Raw genomic sequence first — 18,144 nt, forward strand, 5'->3', positions numbered from 1 at the left:
ATCTTTTGGATCATACGGCCCAAGTAGGGAAGCCACTTTCTCCTACACCCCCTACGAAGCATTTTTCCTCACTAGTTTTCACTGAAAACAGGCAGCCTTTGCTGTCACACACTAATGGGTAGAATGAGTATTCTCAAGTGTGAAACATGCTGTCTTTAGAATCCAAAGTAGTGCTGCACTTTGTCTTTTAATTTGATTGGATTGTTTCAACATGCCAAAGATAACTGGACTCCTAAAAACATCACTGCTGTGGTTGGCCCTTAAATCTTCATGGGGTTTATTTACACTTTCTAGGCCACACATGTTTTTCCAAGGCCTCTAACGCACTTGCAACGTCTTGCTACTCTAGTTCAGTTAATACGAGGTTATCAATACAGTGGACCAATTTGCAAAATATTTGGGTACCTGAACCAATTCTGCAAATTAGTTACATGGTCCAGATTTCTTCTGACTAATTATGAATAGGAGAAATGAGGAAGTTAACATAGAGTTACATAAAAAAGTAAACGTACAGTGGGAAGTATTAGTCTGCTAGGGCTGCTATAACAAAATATTATAAACTGAGTGACTTACACAACAGACATTTATTTTCTCACAGTTCCGGAGGCTGGAGAGTCCAAGATCAAGATATTGGTTCCTGGTGAGGGCTTCCTTCCTGGCTTGCAGACAGCTGCCTTCTCACTGTGTCCTCACAGGGCAGAGAGAGTGATAGAGAGCTCTGGTCCCTCTTTCTCTTCTTTCACTCACAGGGGCTCCAACCCTCATGACCATATATAAACCTAATTACCTCTCAAAGGCCTCACCTCCAAATACCATCATTTTTAGGGTTAGAGTTTCAAAATATGAATTTGGGGGAACATTAACATTCAGTTAATAACATGGGGGAGGGGTTTTTTGTTTGTTTGTTTGTTTGTTTGTTTGTTTTTGAGATAGGGTCTCACTCTGTCGCCCAGTCTGGAGTGCAGTGATGTAAACTTGGCTCACTGCAACCTCCACCTCCCAAGTTTAAGTGATTCTCCTGCCTCAGCCTCCCAAGTAGCTGGGACTACAGGTGCCTGCCACCACGCCCGGCTAATTTTTGTATTTTTAGTAGAGACGAGGTTTCACCATATTGGCCAGGCTGGTCTTGAACTTGGGACTTTGTGATCCACCCGCCTCGGCCTCCCAAGGTGCCGGGATTAGAGGCGTGAGCCACCACGCCCGGCCATGGGGGAGTTTTGGTACAGATTTCCTTCATTGACTGAAAAAAAAAAGAGTCATAAAGAAAAAAAAAACTCCTTTTTGCAGCCGCAGCCACCATTTCTCCACATCCTGTCCTCTCCATCTCCTTTTCTCACATATAGTGACAGTGTCTGAAGCCGTGGCAGCCACTCTGTGGCTATGTAACAACAAACCCAAGGACAACAGGGCCAACACACTGAAAACTGTGGAAAGATGATAATCTCTTGGGACCTTGATGATACCTTTAAATTGTAGAATCTTCCTATAGTTCTTGTTATGTTAGAAATATTTCTTTTATTTGAGCTGAAACCATTTGGATTAGTTAATTATAGCTGCTATAAAAAATGAACTCTAAAACAGAAATAACTTAATACATAAAAATCTCATCTCTCTCTTACAACAGCTAAAACAGGGGTTTTCAGTTGGGTTATTCTCCTTCAGACAATGATTCTGATTCTCTCTTTTTTTTTTTTTTTTTTTTTGAGACGGAGTCTCACTGTGTCGCCCAGGCTGGAGTGCAGTGGCGCAATCTCGGCTCACTGCAAGCTCCCCCTCCCGGGTTCATGCCATTCTCCTGCCTCAGCCTCCAAAGTAGCTGGGACTACAGGCACCTGCCACCACGCCCGGCTAATTTTTTTGTACTTTTAGTACAGGCGGGGTTTCACCATGTTAGCCAGGATGGCCGCGATCTCCTGACCTCGGGATCCGCCTGCCTCAGCCTCCCAAAGTGCTGGGATTACAGGCGTGGGCAACCACGCCTGGCCTCAGACAATGATTCTTGAACCAAGTCTTCTTTCAGATTTTGGCTCCACCATCTCCAAAACTTGGTTTCCAGAGTTAACTTGGATATCACCTCAATTTCTAATTTTAGGAAATGAGAAAGGAATATAGATGATTATGCATGGGAAGTTTTTAATGGAGAAAGCCTAAAACTAGGTTGTATGGTTACTCTTAACTGCAAAAGAGAATTCAAAATCGTTTTTCCATGAAGAATCAGAAAGGGGAATGACTTTATTCCCTCTACCTAGAATAGTGCCTGACTGATAGCAAAAATTCAATGTATAACCATTTAATATATGAATAAATTAGTTTGCTTTGCTCTGCTTCCCAACCAGGAATGTACTGGTTGATAATTACTTATCCAAAATGCTTAGGACCAGAAGTGTTTTGGATTTCATATTTTTTCAGATGCTTTAATATTTGCATATACTGTACCTAATGAGATATCTTTGGAATAGAACCCAAGTCTGAAATTTATTTCTGTTTCATATACACCTTAACACACAGCCTGGAGGTGATTTTATACAATATCTTATACAATATTTAAAATAATTTTGTATGTGAAACAAAGTTTGTATTAAGTATTTATACATGGAATTTTCCATTTGTGGTGTCATGTTGGTGCTTTAAAATTTTCAGATTTTGGAGCATGTCAAATACATATGTCTTTTTTTTTTTTTTTTTTTTTTTTGTAAGAGACAGGGTCTTGCTCTGTTGCCCAGGCTGGAGTACTGTGGCATGACCATAGCTCACTGCAGCCTTGACCTCCTGAGCTCAAGCAATCCTCCTGCCTAAGCCTCCTGAGTGGCTGGATCTACAGAAGCTGCCACCACACCTGGCTATAGACCTAAACATATGTCTTGCAAATGTTTCACATGACCATAGAGTGAGATATTACTTACATCCATGAAAATTCTGAGTTCTAGAGAAACAATTCAAATGGTGCTGTTTATTATTGATTGATTCATAATTTCATTTATATATAGGCAGTAGCAATCTGTCTACAGCCTCCTTAGTGATAATATATGTGATCTTCCTTGTTCCTTCACACTGAGTAAGGTTTCATCCCTGTTTTTTGTAAGAGGTAGTCTGTGTTTTTTCCTTTGCCAATAACTCAGTGAGAGACCACTGCCCTCCAATATAACATCAAAAGTACCTGATCAACTAAGTCAAAAATTTACTTGATCTTCTCTTATGTTATGTAGGAAAAAAAATCTGTTTTGGCCAGGCGCGGTGGCTCATGCCTATAATCCCAGTGCTCTGGGAGGCCGAGGCGGGTGGATCACGAGGTCAAGAGATTGAGACCATCCTGGCCAACATGGTGAAACCCCATCTGTACTAAAAATACAAAAATTAGCCGGGCGTGGAGGCACGCACCTGTAGTCCCAGCTACTTGGGAGGCTGAGGCAGGAGAATTGCTTGAACCCAGGAGCCAGAGGTTGCAGTGAGCCAAGATGGTGCCACTGGACTCCAGCCTGGGCGACAGAACAAGACTCCGTCTCAAAAAAAAAAAAAATCTGTTTTATAAAATCAACGTTTGCTTGAATTGATTGAATTTCCCCATGGTTACAAGGAAATAACCTAGTTTGCCAAAGATGACTCACAGAGTTTATACTTTACCGTTTGTCTTTAGCACATACTCATATCTAGGTCTACCTCTCTATTGATTATTCTTCCTTAAAATCTTTTTCTCTGAGATGATTATGTCATGATTTTACACATCCACATGTATATTAGTCTGTTTTGCATTGCTATAAAGGAATACCTGAGACTGGTAATTTATAAAGGAAAGAGGCTTATTTGGCTCATGGTTCTGCAAGCTGTCCAAGAAGCATGGTGCTAGCATCTGCTTCTGGTGAAGGCTTCAAGGAGCTTACACTCATAGGAAAGGAAAAAGGGGAGCAGATGTGTCACATGGTGAGAGAGAGAGAGAGAGAGAGAGAGAGAGAGAGAGGAGAAGCAGGACTGACTTTTTTGAGCAATCAGATTTGATGGTAACTAACAGACCAAGAATTCATTCATTACCATGGTGACAGCACCAAGTCATTCATGAGGAGTCTGCCCCGATGACCCAGACATCTCCCACTTGGCCCTATATCCAACACTGGGGATCACATTTCAACATGAAATTTGGAGGGGACAAATACCAAACTATATCAATATGATTCTGCACATGAAATGGGTTAGCATAGTTAGAGATAATTAACTAGGCTCCAAGTCTATTAAGTTAATATAAATCCTAGGCAAATAAATTATTTATATTTTCTAACAAAATATGTATTGAAGCTAAGCAGGCACATCTGATGAATCATTCACTCTTTTGTTTGTTGTTTCTTTTTAATTACACAAATTTTCAGTGATTATATTGAAAATCATGCAGGCAAAAGACTTCGAATAAACAAATGAAAGTTCTTAAAAGAAATGTTACATCCTAATGGCAACACAAACCTTCTAATTTTTATTTTTTAATGTAACTTAGAGGCTTTAAGTCACAGGTCAGATTAACTTCTGATGTAACCCAGCTATGCAGACTGTTTCCTACTACTGAAGACATGAACATACATAGAATTTCCATCACCTAAAACTGTTTTGGCATCATTGTGATGGCCTACTGTACTTTTGCAAATTACTTTATCATCCTTGCTGCTTTGCTATTCTTCTTGTCAATGCCATGTCTCTGATAATGTCACTTTGAACAGTGATTGTGTGAATGCTCAGAATTACTAATAATTTCCACAGACAGTATCTTGTAGTGAGGTAGTAACAGAATATTTTTCCATTCTGTGTCAGTGTCTTACAGGACTGATTTTTTACAAGATGGCTTTCTTGGCATCCAATGCAAGGACTCTCACCCCAAGAGAAAACTTTATGCACGAATTAGAAATGAGGGAATAAAGTTTCTTAAACTAGGACTGCATCAGAAGATGTGTTCTCTCTGTCTCTGTTTTTTTGTTTGTTTGTTTTTTGTTTATTGAGACAGGGGTCATGCTTCGTCATCCAAACTGAAGTGCAGTGGTGTGAACATGGCTGATTTGCAGCCTCAATTTCCCAGGCTCAAGCGATCCTCCTACCTCAGCTCCCCGAGTAGCTGGGACTACAGCGCATGCCACCACACCCAGCTAATTTTACATTTTTTTTTCTTGAGACAAGAGTTTTGCCTTGTTGCCCAGGTCTGATCTAGTCCTGAGCTCAAGCAATCCTTCCACCCCAGCTTCCCAAAGTTCTGGGATTACAGGCCTGAGCCACTGCACCCAGCCTGATGTGTACTCTCTTAAAACGTTCTTAAACCGGGCCGGGCGCGGTGGCTCACGCCTGTGATCCCAGCACTTTGGGAGGCCGAGGCGGGTGGATCATGAGGTCAGGAGATCGAGACCATCCTGGCCAACAAGGTGAAACCCCATCTCTACTAAAAATACAAAAAATTAGCCAGGCGTGGTGGCAGGTGCCTGTAGTCCCAGCTACTCGGGAGACTGAGGCAGGAGAATGACGTGAACCCGGGAGGCGGAGCTTGCAGTGAGCTGAGATCGAGCCACTGCACTCCAGCCTGGGCGACAGAGCTAGGCTCTGTCTCAAAAAAAAAAAAAAAAGTTCTTAAACCAACAATTTTCTATAATCACTAATTAATGATGATCATCATAACTTCAACCACGGTATTTTTAAAAGAGATATTTAAGAGACTTTTCCCCTGATAATTTTTATATTACTTAATTTGTGTATTATAACATGAAGGGAATAGGGATCACCGATTTGACAGTCTATTGTTCAGTCTAATTAAGTATATACAAAACTGAATTTCCTTAAAATACTGAAACTCAAGGATTAAAAATAAATTGTTTAGTAAGAGAAAGGAGAAACAAGAAAGCCGATGGGAAAGACAATAAAGAAGGAACAATAAAAAGTTTGTGGGATTGGTTATAGCTTTTTTTTTTTTTTTTTTTTTTTTTTTTGGTGCTAGCCATAAGATTTATCATATGTCAGATAACTAGAAAATCAAAGCCTATATTTTAAAATCCAGGAGCCAAAATTTCGACAGCTGTTTTTTAAACAATGACTCAGATTAGCTAGCTAGCTAGGTAGGTAGGTAGATAAATAGAAGATAGATAGATAGGTATAGGTATAACAAAATCTTTTTCAATTTACATCACGAGTATCTTATGCATTACCATCTTATTATAAATGCAAAATGTACTTTAAAATGCTAATTTTGAGAAAGATAATGACTAAGGCAATTTTATAGTACTTGTGATTTGTTCCGTTAGTATATTACTATTACAATTTCGAAAGACTTATAGAACATTTTTAGTCAGTCTTTTTAAGAAAACCTGAATGTGCAAAATTTAAAACAAGACATTATCTTTTATAAAAGAATATATTAATATAATCTCATCTTTGTTTGAAGGGAAAAGACATCAAATAACCTTTATTTTTTTCCAAATTCATGAATTTATACATATTTGATCAGTATAAGTTTTTGAGATTACTTCACATAAAATTAATCTTTTCAGAATTATTGCTGTTAATTTGATCACCCAGAATACCAGTGATTTACTCACCCTTTTCATGGTACTGGTTTTCACTTTCACCAGCTTACTTTTCTGGGTGATATATGGACCCTCCATAGATATTTACCCCTAGAAAAGAATCTACCTATTCCTAATATGTATGTATCTCAACTTACATAGATGAAATATGCAGGGAAAGGAGATTGTGGATTTGTAAATCTGGAGTAGAATTTAAAAAATCACTGCACAGATAGACCAAAGTTTGCAAACTCAGATGCCAGCAGAGGTTTGGTAGGTAATATACAAGAATTGAACAGCCATATATAAACCAATATATTGGGGTGAATTTGAAAGCCTACGCCCCACGCAAAAAGAGAGCACATTATCTACAAAGCTCAAGCAAATTATTTCCTTGCTGAATGTAAAATCTATCTTTCCAACATAGAAGAAGTCAGAAATCCAATTCTTTATGTCAACTCAGTCTCAGTTAAATGCAGGTAAGCAATTTGAATTACTGTATTAAACAATGTACAAATCATACAAAACAAATCTCTTGGAGACATTTGGCCTACCAGTAAGCCAATTTAAAACCTGTGTGGGGATCTAGTGCAGGAATTACAGATTTTCTATAACCAAAGTCTGAAAAAAAAATTTAAATTGAATTTTAGCTTCATCCAACATAGCCACTTTTTCTACCATTACCTATTATTTCATTCCTGTTAGCTTTAATCATTTACCTGCTTGCAGGTCCTGAATGACCTTGAGATTGTAACTAATGTTGGTCCAAAAATCTCACTGACAATGTTATTGCGGCATGATCAGTGAAAGAGAAGTTGGGTTCATGGTTGAGAAACAGGGATGAGAAATATAGGAGACTGGTTGAATGGAGGTATGGTGGAACTATGACAATGCCCCTGCTGTATCAGATGTGGCCCCTGCTGTATCAGATGTGGCACCTCCTCATCCATTTGAGCAGCCATAGCTATGTAGAAAAATCCTGAATTTATGTCATTAAAGATGTTTGATGTTAACATAAACTGATCATTTATAAAGTAAATAATAGGGATTTGGCGTGTGTGTGTCTGGCCTTGTCAGAAGTAAACAAGGAGAATATTCATAATCTTACTCAAGTCATCTGGGGAAGGATTGCCCCTTGTAGTAATACTTTTCTGGAAAACAAAGAGGTTTGGGGATTTCTTAACCCTAATGCTTTCTAGAATCTCAGGGTTCAGTTAAAACTCAACATTGGCGGCCAGGCATGGTGGCTCACGCGTGTAATCCCAGCAGTTTGGGAGGCCGAGGTGGGCAGATCACGACGTCAGGAGATCGAGACCATCCTGGCCAACATGGTGAAACCCCATCTCTACTAAAATACAAAAAATTAGCTGGGCGTGGTGGCGGGCGCCTGTAGTCCCAGCTACTCTGGAGGCTGAGGCAGGAGAATCGCTTGAAACAAGGAGGCGGAGGTTGCAGTGAGCTGAGATTGCTCTACTGCACTCCAGCCTGGCAACAGAGCGAGACTCCGTCTCAAAAAAAAAAGAAAAAAAAATTCAACGTTGTCAATAAATATCTGATGGTGACGTACAAAGAAAAAGCTAGAGAGAATTTCAGTTTAAAGAATTGTAAGTTCTATTAAGGAGATATTTTTTAACACAGCTCAAGGAAATATTATCCATTCCTGGAATACAGTGGCTCTCAATTGGAGGTGATTCCTTCACGCTGAATCCTTGGGGACACCTGGCAGCATATTTGGTTGTCACAAATGAATGTGGAAATGTGACTGGTATCAATTGGATAGAGGCCGGACTTTACACTAAACATCCTACAATTAACAGAGCCCCCCGCAAGAAAGAATTATTCACCCTAAACTTTCAACAATGCTGAGCTTGAGAGACTTTGCTGTAGGGACAAAAACACAAGTTTGAGAATTTGATAATTCTCTGCCATCTTCAAGCTACATGGATTCCCATAAGTAACTTAGCAAGTATGAGCCTCAGTTTTCTAATATGGTAGTTGGGCAAAATAAAATATATCAAAGAACTTGTGAGGATTAGTGAAGTAAACTCTGTGTAAACACCTACCACAGCGCCTGGCAAAAAAGTCAGGAAGAAAATAATAATTACCTCTCGATTTCCCACCCTCCTTTACATCGACTTCTCACTTCAGTTTCTCCAGACTAACTTTTTGGTGATCAACCATTTCATAGTGATGACGAGGAAAGTCTAAAAATTCTGGGTTTGGAAGTAAGAAAAAATCAGAGCTTTTGTACCACCAGGATCAGTTTTATGATCTTAGGCAAACCAACTTAGTCTCCGTGTTTTAGTTTTCTTATCTGTCAAAAGGACAAAAAGACATTTTCCCTTGCCTGTCTTGGAGATGAAAATAAATGAATTACTAGGAAAAGGAGCAATTTTCCCAGGAGAAGTGATCTATAAATGACTTGTGCTTTAGCAGTGTATGAAAGCACTTTGAGAAGTATGGACATTATCTAAATTAAAGGATTTAAGTTATTTTACTATAAGTTACATTATTTAAATATAATGTATTTAAATAGTTTTTTGATGTGTGCTATTTATTTTTTAAGTTATATTTTAAATTAGAGAACTATCTATAGCATTAAAATATATATAGATGAGTCTCAGATTAAGACTATAAAATTTCTCACATACCAATACACATTTCATCTCTGAATAGTCTTTCTTTTCATATTTTCTCAGTTTTGTTTCTTCAGGTAGTTTTCTTTATACAGTTTAAATAAATATTTTGATTTTTTTCCCCTGATTTACTAGCTTTAGATAGTATCATTTTATTTTACTTTTCAAAAGTTTAATGACATAGTGACTTACCCAACCATATGTTCTCTTTCCTTTCCTGGAGCTTGTTTATATTGGTATTTTAAATTTGTAAAGTTTACAAATTTCACATTTAATATGTAGCTAAAATTGTGCTCTAGCTTTACTATAGGTTGATTTTAAAAATATAAGCACAATAAAAACGACATTTATGATTTCAAAATTATGTGAATATGCAAACCAAATACTGAAATTGAAACTGTGGAGAAGGAAACGCAATCCTATGGCACTAAAGTTCTAATGCTCAAAAGATAATGTCCCAAGCATACACAAGTAGTAGCTTTTCCTTTCTTATGTGCTTATGTTTTCTCCACACATCTTCGGTGACCACTAACTCATGTTCATAATCATCCTCTCACTTTCTTTCTTGAAGGTGTTTTTGCTTTTTTTTTTTTTTAAATTACGTTGTATAGCTTTTTAATGCTCATTGGTTTCCCAGTAAGCAGACTCTGAAACAAAGATTTGTGTTCAGGAAATTGATAGGACATTGATTGGATTTTGTTCCTAAGGATCAACTTGGTGGGGGATAAGGGGAGACAAAGTGAGATTAAACAGGGGAGCAAGATTGAGTAAAAGAAAAAGCTGGCCTGTGGAACACTCATAACAAAGGCCTCAACTGATTTCACAGGGAATCTCTTGGGTGGAGATGCCCCTTTGTCATTGTTCCAGCTGCCACAAGGGAGTAGGCATGGGGTGTAGGTTCCACCCAGGAGGCGGTGTGATCTTGGGCAAGGTGACTCTCGTCAACCAGGACAATATTGGGATGGTGGGTGGAGAGGAACTCAGCTGCAAACTTTCAGCCACCAATACTCCCAGCAGCTGGGGGAAGGCAAGCTTCAGGCCTGAAATATGTGACAGAGCAGGGAAAAATTCAGGCCACATGTAATAGGATCCATCCAGAGCAATCCTCAAGAGGTAGATTTCTCACGAGATCCTTGAACATTTGGAAAACTGGGTTTAGTTTTTTCATTATCCTTCACTGGTAAGTTAATGAAAAGTAGAAATAATTTTCCTCAAAGTGTTTCTTCATTGTCTTTTTAGTACTCAGTGTCTGATGGGAAGTCAAGCGGCCAATCAGATTCCTGCTGTGTGGTGTACATGTTTTACTTTTTCTCTCTATGGAAGATTGAGGAAAGTTTCCCTATCCTGGGAGTTCTGAAACTTCACAGGATTTGGAGCTTTTTAAAATTCTAATCAGCCTTTGTATGTTTTTAATAAGAAGATGTGCCTTCCCTTCTCTGAAGATAATCTTTTTCTAATTTATTTCCTTGTTTCTTTCATTCACTATCACAGTTCTTTTCACCTGGAACTCTTGTTAGATAAAATCCAGAATATTGTATATTTTTTCCATTAAAATAATCTTTTCCTTTATTATTCTTCCCTTTGTCTTTTCTTCTTTTTGTTTCCTGGGACATTTTCTCAAGTTTTATCATCCAGATCATCAGCTAGATCCTTAGGTATATTCATTTTCCTTTCCGTTCTATAAAGTAACATTAAAAATTTTTATTTTACATTATTTTTCTTTTACTTCTTTTTATATGGTTTCTTTATAAACATTTATTGTTATTTTAATTGACAAAATTTGTATATATTTATCATGTACAACAAGTTGCTTTGAAATTCTGTATGTATACATTGTTGAATGGCTAACTCCTGCTAATTAACATATGTGTTACCTCTCACACTTACCATTTTTTCTGATAAGAATATCTAAAATCCATCCTCTCAGCAGTTTTCAAAAATATAATACATTGTTATTAATACATACTGCATGATCTCACTTATATGTGAAATCAAGAAAAAAGTTGAATTCATGAAAGTAAAGAGTAAAATGGTGGTTACCAGAGGCTGAGGTAGCGGGGAGGTGTTGGCCAAAGGATACAAAATTTCAGTTAGGGGAAATATGTTCAAGAGATCTACTGTACAATTTGGCGACTATAGTTAATAATTCTCTTTTATTTTGGCAGCATTCTCTTCTTTTATGAATACAAGTGCTTGCTTTTCTCTTAAGTCTGTGCTGTAGATAATTTCTACCTCTGCTTTAGTCAGCCATATGCTTCCCCATTCTGGTATTTTCGTTCACATTTGGTTCATATGTTTGGTGGTCTATGAGTCATTATTTCATGAATAAAAACACAACTAGTTTAATTGATATAAGTTGTTTGCATAGGTTTACTCTGCAGATACATAGGTCTGGTTCCCAAAGTGACTAAGTTACGTGTGTGTGTGTGGTATATTTGTGTGTGTTGTGTCAGTCTGGACTAAATTTTATATAATCATAACATGTAATATTATATATCAACATATATAAAATATATAACACATACAATATATGCTGTATTTTGGTGTTTGTTTTGTATGTTTTACTTGTTATATATACCATATATTATGTTTCATATGTTGTATATATGCTATATATATATATACATAATGTGGGTATATTTAAATGTGTCTATATGTGCTTTTTAAAGTCTAAATGTTCCAAATGGTTCTTTTGCCCCCAAATGTGTCTTCTGTTAGCCTTAAATTCTCATTATTTTAAATATTTTCATGAAGTATATCTTAGACACGTTTTTTGCTCTTTTTTGCCCATAAGAATCCTCCTCCCCAGTCCCACCCCTTGGCCCAAGGAAAACACTTCTAATCTGATTAGTGTGAAGTCAAACAATAGTGAATTCGTACTCACTAGCGTGCAGATTGAGTATGCATTAAATCATACATGTCCATTTTCTCTGTCTCCTTGGTACTTACATAAAGGTGGAAGAGGACTAGGTTTCCAGTATTCGCCATATTATGCTTCATCTCCTCTCCACTTCCTTCATCTATGTGAAAAGTCCAAGAATAATAAACCCTTGAGATACATATTTTGGGGCAACATATAACGTTCTACATAGGCTGCTCAAAACTGGAGTTTACAAGAGCGGTGTATTAAGATATCAAGAACTTGTGCAACCCTTAATATTATGTTTTGGTTCTTATTTAGCTGTTATTCTTTTTGTGTATTGCCCTATTGAAAACTGTTATAATTGATCATACACATTGAGTCATTCTTGTCATATCCAAACTGAAACAGAGTCTAGAAGCTGGGGGAAAAGCACTCAGCTTATAAAACATTCCTCCAAGAATGTAATTCTCTGCAAGTCTGACTACTAAAATTGCTTGTTGTAACCCGAAACCAGTTTTATCTACAGCTTCTGAGATGACTTGCTGCAATGCTAGGACTAATTCTGCCCACCACCATTGCTCACCAATACGAACTTGCCAGCTCCCCAAACACTTACTAGTGTCAGCGAACTTTCTCAAAGAACAGTATATAACATATCTCCTTTTTTATAAAACCTCTAGCCTTCTCTTTGTTCTTTGGACCTCCAGAATACCCCCAGTCCATGTGTATGCCTCAAACTGCAATTGTTTCTTCACAAACAAAACATTAAATTTGGAGATTTATCTTTACATATTTATTCTGACTTTGAAAAGACATAGAAAAAGAGAAAGTATATGAGCATGCATTTGATTTAATAAAAGTCTCACTCCTAATTCCTAATTCCTAGTCATGCCCATTCAAGCATTCTACTATGTCTGCATGAATCCATTTAAAACAGTAAATATTAATGAAGAAAAAATTCTCATTTATCAATTAGCACCCACCAATATTTATTCTCAAGGAGTTATATTCACGATCTAGATTCTCTACATGTGCCACCAAACACCCCACTTTTACCGCTCCTCATTCTGCTCAGGCTCCTGCATTCAAGTTCTAACTCCACTTACCTTTGTCTCTCTAGGAGAAAGTAAACACACATTCTAACGCAAGTGAGTATTTTTTGGTACTGATAACATTGAAAAATGTCCAATTCAAAATATAAAATTTCTTTCACATCATTTTATGTCACACTAGTAAGAAATACTAGAATTAGTAACAAATTACTTTTCGCCTGCCTCTATTCTGATTGTAACTTACCAATGTGTTTCTACTTCGAGATTGAGAAGTATAGCATTAACACGTTGGAATTAATTCCCTGGTTTAACTAGAAAACTGCCAACAAGGGAAGTGGGACATAAATAGTTTGATAAGAATAAAGAAAATCCAAAGCGTTACACTGCCTGCAAAATGAACAGGTACCTGTACCTGTTCACAAAGTGAACAGGTGAGCAGTCATAGGGCACTATGCTGGTTCATTGCCTAAGACGGCACAGGTAGGCTTGTCTATGTGTATGACCGATATGTGTGTGCACATATCCGATATGTGTGTGCACATCGGAGACCTACGGGGAGGTTTGCAGGAGGTGTTATAGAAAACGGTTGTTTCTTCATCATTTTGCCAAGAGCTCTTGTCCTCCAACCTAACTGTGTCCATACACAGTGGAGCATTATTTGAGTAAATGACTGAGCTCTGGGAAATGGGTAAATGACCCCAAGGCAGAAAGGTGTAAATAGGCTTGCCTGGGCTTCTGTGTGTGTTACTCTGCTGCTGTGACAACCATTGCTAGCATAACAATAAGATCCAGGGTTACCTTTATGGTTGTGTTGAGTTGTTGGGGAAAAATTAGAAGAGAATTTGGATCATCTATTCTCAGGAGACCCGTTTGAATCATCAAAGCTTAATGTCACTTGTCTCTATCTCTTTCAACCATGCATTCCACACACCAATTTGCTTAAATAGTGGATGCACATGCCAAATCTAATTATCCCTTATCTCACAAAGTCATTAATCATTCCCATCCATTATTCATTGACTACCAATAGCTACTCCAATCTTTAGTACATGCAACTTCAGTGCACATTACAATACCCTGTTTATAAGTGGCATTTATCTCTGAAACGTACCGCATGGCATTTTTAAGTTAGATGAAATATTCCTGGCATAAAAACTGGTGGTGTGTTTTATGGTGTTCTTCTCGTAATCCATAAAATTAGTAATATAAAAAGAAAATGCTCAAGATAATTGTGAAGCTGCAGATAATTATTCATGGTGATGTTAATTAGCACAGTGTTGTGAAAATGGTGCACAACCTACACAGTATTCAGGGATCGCAAAGTACTTTGAAAAGAGGTTGTATATTATCCAAAAAAAGCAGAAGGAAAGTGGTGTGAGGGATAGATTAGCCTAGTTAAAAGACAAAAACAATGTGAAATTTGGGGTAACTGAAGCATTCTCTAGCCATTTAATATTCTCAACTGCTGCATACTACACAATTCATATTGTCCCACATATACTTTAACCTTTTGATTTCCTCTAAAATATTTGAGGGGTACTTAAATAGACACAATGATTAAGTTCAAATCTCATTTTTTTTCCCAAAGACACTTACACAGTCTATGGGACAGCAGAGATTTGAACACAGATCTCTTGATGGCAACCCAGAGCTATTTCGTTAATGGATTTATTGGATGAAACCAAGTTTTTTTCAGTGCCTTCTACATAACAAGTTACTATACACAGTGCCATTACATAGCATTTTCAGAAGTCTATTGAAAACGCTAATTATTTATCTATCTTTATATCTATATTTTCATCTATAACCTCTATTTATCATCTATCATCTTTATTTATAGATGAGAAAATTGAGAGTCATCAAGGTTATGTATTTTTCCCAAGCTTCCTAGTTAATAAATAGGTCTGCCATGATCCTAATCTTAATTTATCAGATTCAAACTGTGATGTGCATATTTCCAAGACTACCTTTTGTTAGTTTCCTGTCTTGCTGGCAAGTAGGAAGGACTTATTCTTTCTTTATAATAAAAATGTTAAGTTTCAAAGATTCCATAGAGAAAACCTTGTCCAAGCCACTTATTTTAAAGATAAGAAAACTGAGACTCAGAAAAGGTACTTCTTTACACATATATAATTGTTGTAAACTTTAGGTAAAGCACGCATTTCCTAACTATTGATCTTATTGGTATATTTTCTATAACATTATGCTTTCCTCTTGAGAGGCTCACAATTGGAATGTCATACAATCTTTTCCTCTTGTATTTTCTCTCTTTCTAGTTAAAATCAATACATAATGTAACATTGAGCTCAAAACCTTCATCTTCCATAAATTTTTATCAGATTTCTTGTGCACAAAGAATTTATCTTTTCTTGGAACTAATAGAACATATATATGATTCAATTAATCTTTTCCATTTGCTGTATCTTTTTATTTATTCTGCCTCATAATCACTCATAGTTTCTTAAACATGTTCATATCTTATCCCATGAGCTAGATGACAAAGTTCTGTGAGAAAAACTCGTACACTTCCTGTTTCTACACTCTTCCTGTTGTATTGCCTTGCCATGGTAAGCACTCAATTAGTATCTGGTGATTGCTTGCTTAATGTTTGACCAGGACAAAGAGTAGATTATTTAGCCTATTTTATTTACAAGGTACAGCAAGTTAAATGATATGTGGTTTTATCATTAAAAAGTGAAAAGGGAATTAAGGAGATTGAAAATTCACTGCAATGTTCTGCCTGCTACCATGATGGTGGAAAGCCAAAACAGCAATTTTACCAGCCAGCTTTTCCTGTGGTGTGTTTCTACACCAATGAGCTCAGTATTTTAACATAAACTGTATAAAAATAACTGCTAGTATTTATACTTCAAAATGTATCTATTTAGTTGAGTGTGATGGTGTTCACCTATAACCCCAGCCACTCGAGAGGATGAGTTGGTAGGAGCACTTGAGTCCAGGATTTCAAGGCTGCAATGAGCTCAGACAGCACCACTGCACTCCCGCCTGGGTGACAGTGTGAGAGCCTGTCTCTAAAAAGAAAAATCAAAGTGTCTGTATTTCTCATATTTCATCACACTTTTGGAGTACTGACTTGTACATAGATTTCTGAAAACGCTTTGTAAGCTGAACATAAGACAAAAAGAAGATGATGAGAACCAGCCTTATCTTCTTGAAAATAATTACGAAGCTATAAAAAGAAACAGATACAACTAGACAAGGAACCTTAAGGGTCGGGGAGGGGAGGAAATACTTGGATGCCCTCTCTTCCTTCTGGTCCTCTTCTATGTGTATTGATTGCCTCAGACACCTTCAGAGTAATCATATTGTGGAGAGCATGGATGAACATCTAAGAGGGAGAAAATATCAGGATATTAAGTAAAACTAGGTTTTCAAATGCAATAACCACTCACTGTAGCTTTTCGGGGATGATATTTGCCTGGCAATAACTTTTGATTTAAGAAAAATCTTTTTCACCAAAACCTATCCCTTCTCTGAGATGGGTTCCAATCTAGATAAATGGCAAAGCTATTCTCCTGTTTACTCAAGACCCAAACCTAGATGTTACTGTTGATCCCTTTCTCTCCCTTACCTACTATAGCCAATCAATCACCAATTTCTGCTGAGTCTACTCCCAAATATTTCTTGAGTCTTTCCATTTCTTTCCAATCTGTTACTATCACTGTAGTCTGAACCAATATTATCTTTTACCTAGACCATTTATTTACTCCAAAGTAATTTCTATCACTATCGACCACCAAATAAGTGTGGAAGTTAACAGTGCCAGCTTTCAAGTCAGACTGCTCACTGGTTAGCTAAGCAATATTAGGCAATTTTTAAAGCTTTTTGTAAGATGAAGATAATAATATTTACCTTGTTACCAGCAGCAAATGGGTCTGCAGCACTCAATACTTGCCTAACTGGAGGAAAAAATTTGGCTGAGGGCCAGAAGTAGGTTGAAGGCAAAGGGAGAGATAAAGGCAAGTTTGTTTTTTTGTTTTGTTTTTTGTTTCTTGTTTTGGAGACGGGGTCTCACTCTGTCACTCAGGCTGGAGTGCAGTAGTGCAATCTCTCAGCTCACTACAATCTCTGTCTCCTGGGTTCAAGCAATTCTCCTGCCTCAGTCTCCCAAGTAGCTGGGGCTACAAGCACATGCCACCACACACAGCTAATTGTGTGTGTGTGTGTGTGTGTGTGTGTGTGTGTGTGTGTGTGTGTTTAGTAGAGATGGGGTTTCACCATGTTGGCCAGGCTGGTCACAAACTCCTGACCTTAAGTGATCCACCCACCTCGGCCTCTCAAAATGCTGGAGTTACAGGTGTGAGCCACCGCGTCCAGCCTAAAGCAAGTTTAAGAGCAGGAGTGAAAGTTTATTAAAAAGTTTTACAGCAGGAATGAAAGCAAGTCAAGTACACTAGGAAGAGGGTCAAGCAGGCAACTTGAGAAATCCAAGTTCCCCATCTGGCCCTTGACTTGAGGTTTCATACATTGGCATTCATCTAGGGTTTGCATTTCTTCTCCCTTGATTCTTCCCTTGGAGCAGGCTGTCCACATGCACAGGGGCCTGGTAGTACTTAGGAGGGGCTGCATGGTCAGTGTGTTTACTGAAGTTGTGCAGGTGCTCATTTGAAGCATTTTTCCCTTACCAGTAGAGTGTTCCAGAGAAAGGTCATATACCAGTTAAACTGCATCATTTTGTCTTTTACTGTGCATGCCTGAACCCACTTGCTCAAGTCCTGAGATCTTATCAGGAAGCTGCTAATCACCAGCTTCAGGTGTTTTCTGTCTATTGGGAGACTGGTGTTGGCTGTGGCCAATTATTGTTTTAGCAAGACAGATTAACAACCACTTGATCATCACCTGATGGTCACCTGACATTCCAGATGGGGGGCCCTCTCCTGTCCTGCTCGAGTATGCCTACCTAGGTACTCTAGCATTTCTGCCCTCAAGAGTACAAGACTCAATTATTTGGTATAATGGATGAAAGTCAGTCTTTTGTGGTAGTATGTTCTGTGAGTCTTGGTCTCTTGCTAGCTGTCAGGGAAAAGTGGCTCCATGGGTTGGTGAAAGTG

General features: G+C 37.8%; 1 protein-coding gene and 1 long non-coding RNA gene across 12 annotated transcripts in view; one reads left to right on the top strand and one right to left on the bottom strand.

Annotated features, from left to right (window-relative positions):
• DPP10 (dipeptidyl peptidase like 10) overlaps nt 1-18,144 on the top strand; it is a 1,403,140-nt gene that overhangs the window by 658,862 nt on the left and 726,134 nt on the right. The gene's annotated exons all lie outside the window — the stretch shown is intronic.
• Nucleotides 10,727-13,532, bottom strand: LOC105373574 (uncharacterized). The gene is made up of 3 exons (XR_923236.3): nt 13,317-13,532; nt 12,107-12,177; nt 10,727-10,835 (listed from the first exon to the last, which is right to left on the bottom strand). It is a non-coding gene; the product is annotated as an uncharacterized LOC105373574 (long non-coding RNA).

This window comes from Homo sapiens, chromosome 2 (genome assembly GCF_000001405.40).
Source record: "Homo sapiens chromosome 2, GRCh38.p14 Primary Assembly".
NCBI classification, from domain to species: Eukaryota; Metazoa; Chordata; class Mammalia; order Primates; family Hominidae; genus Homo; species Homo sapiens.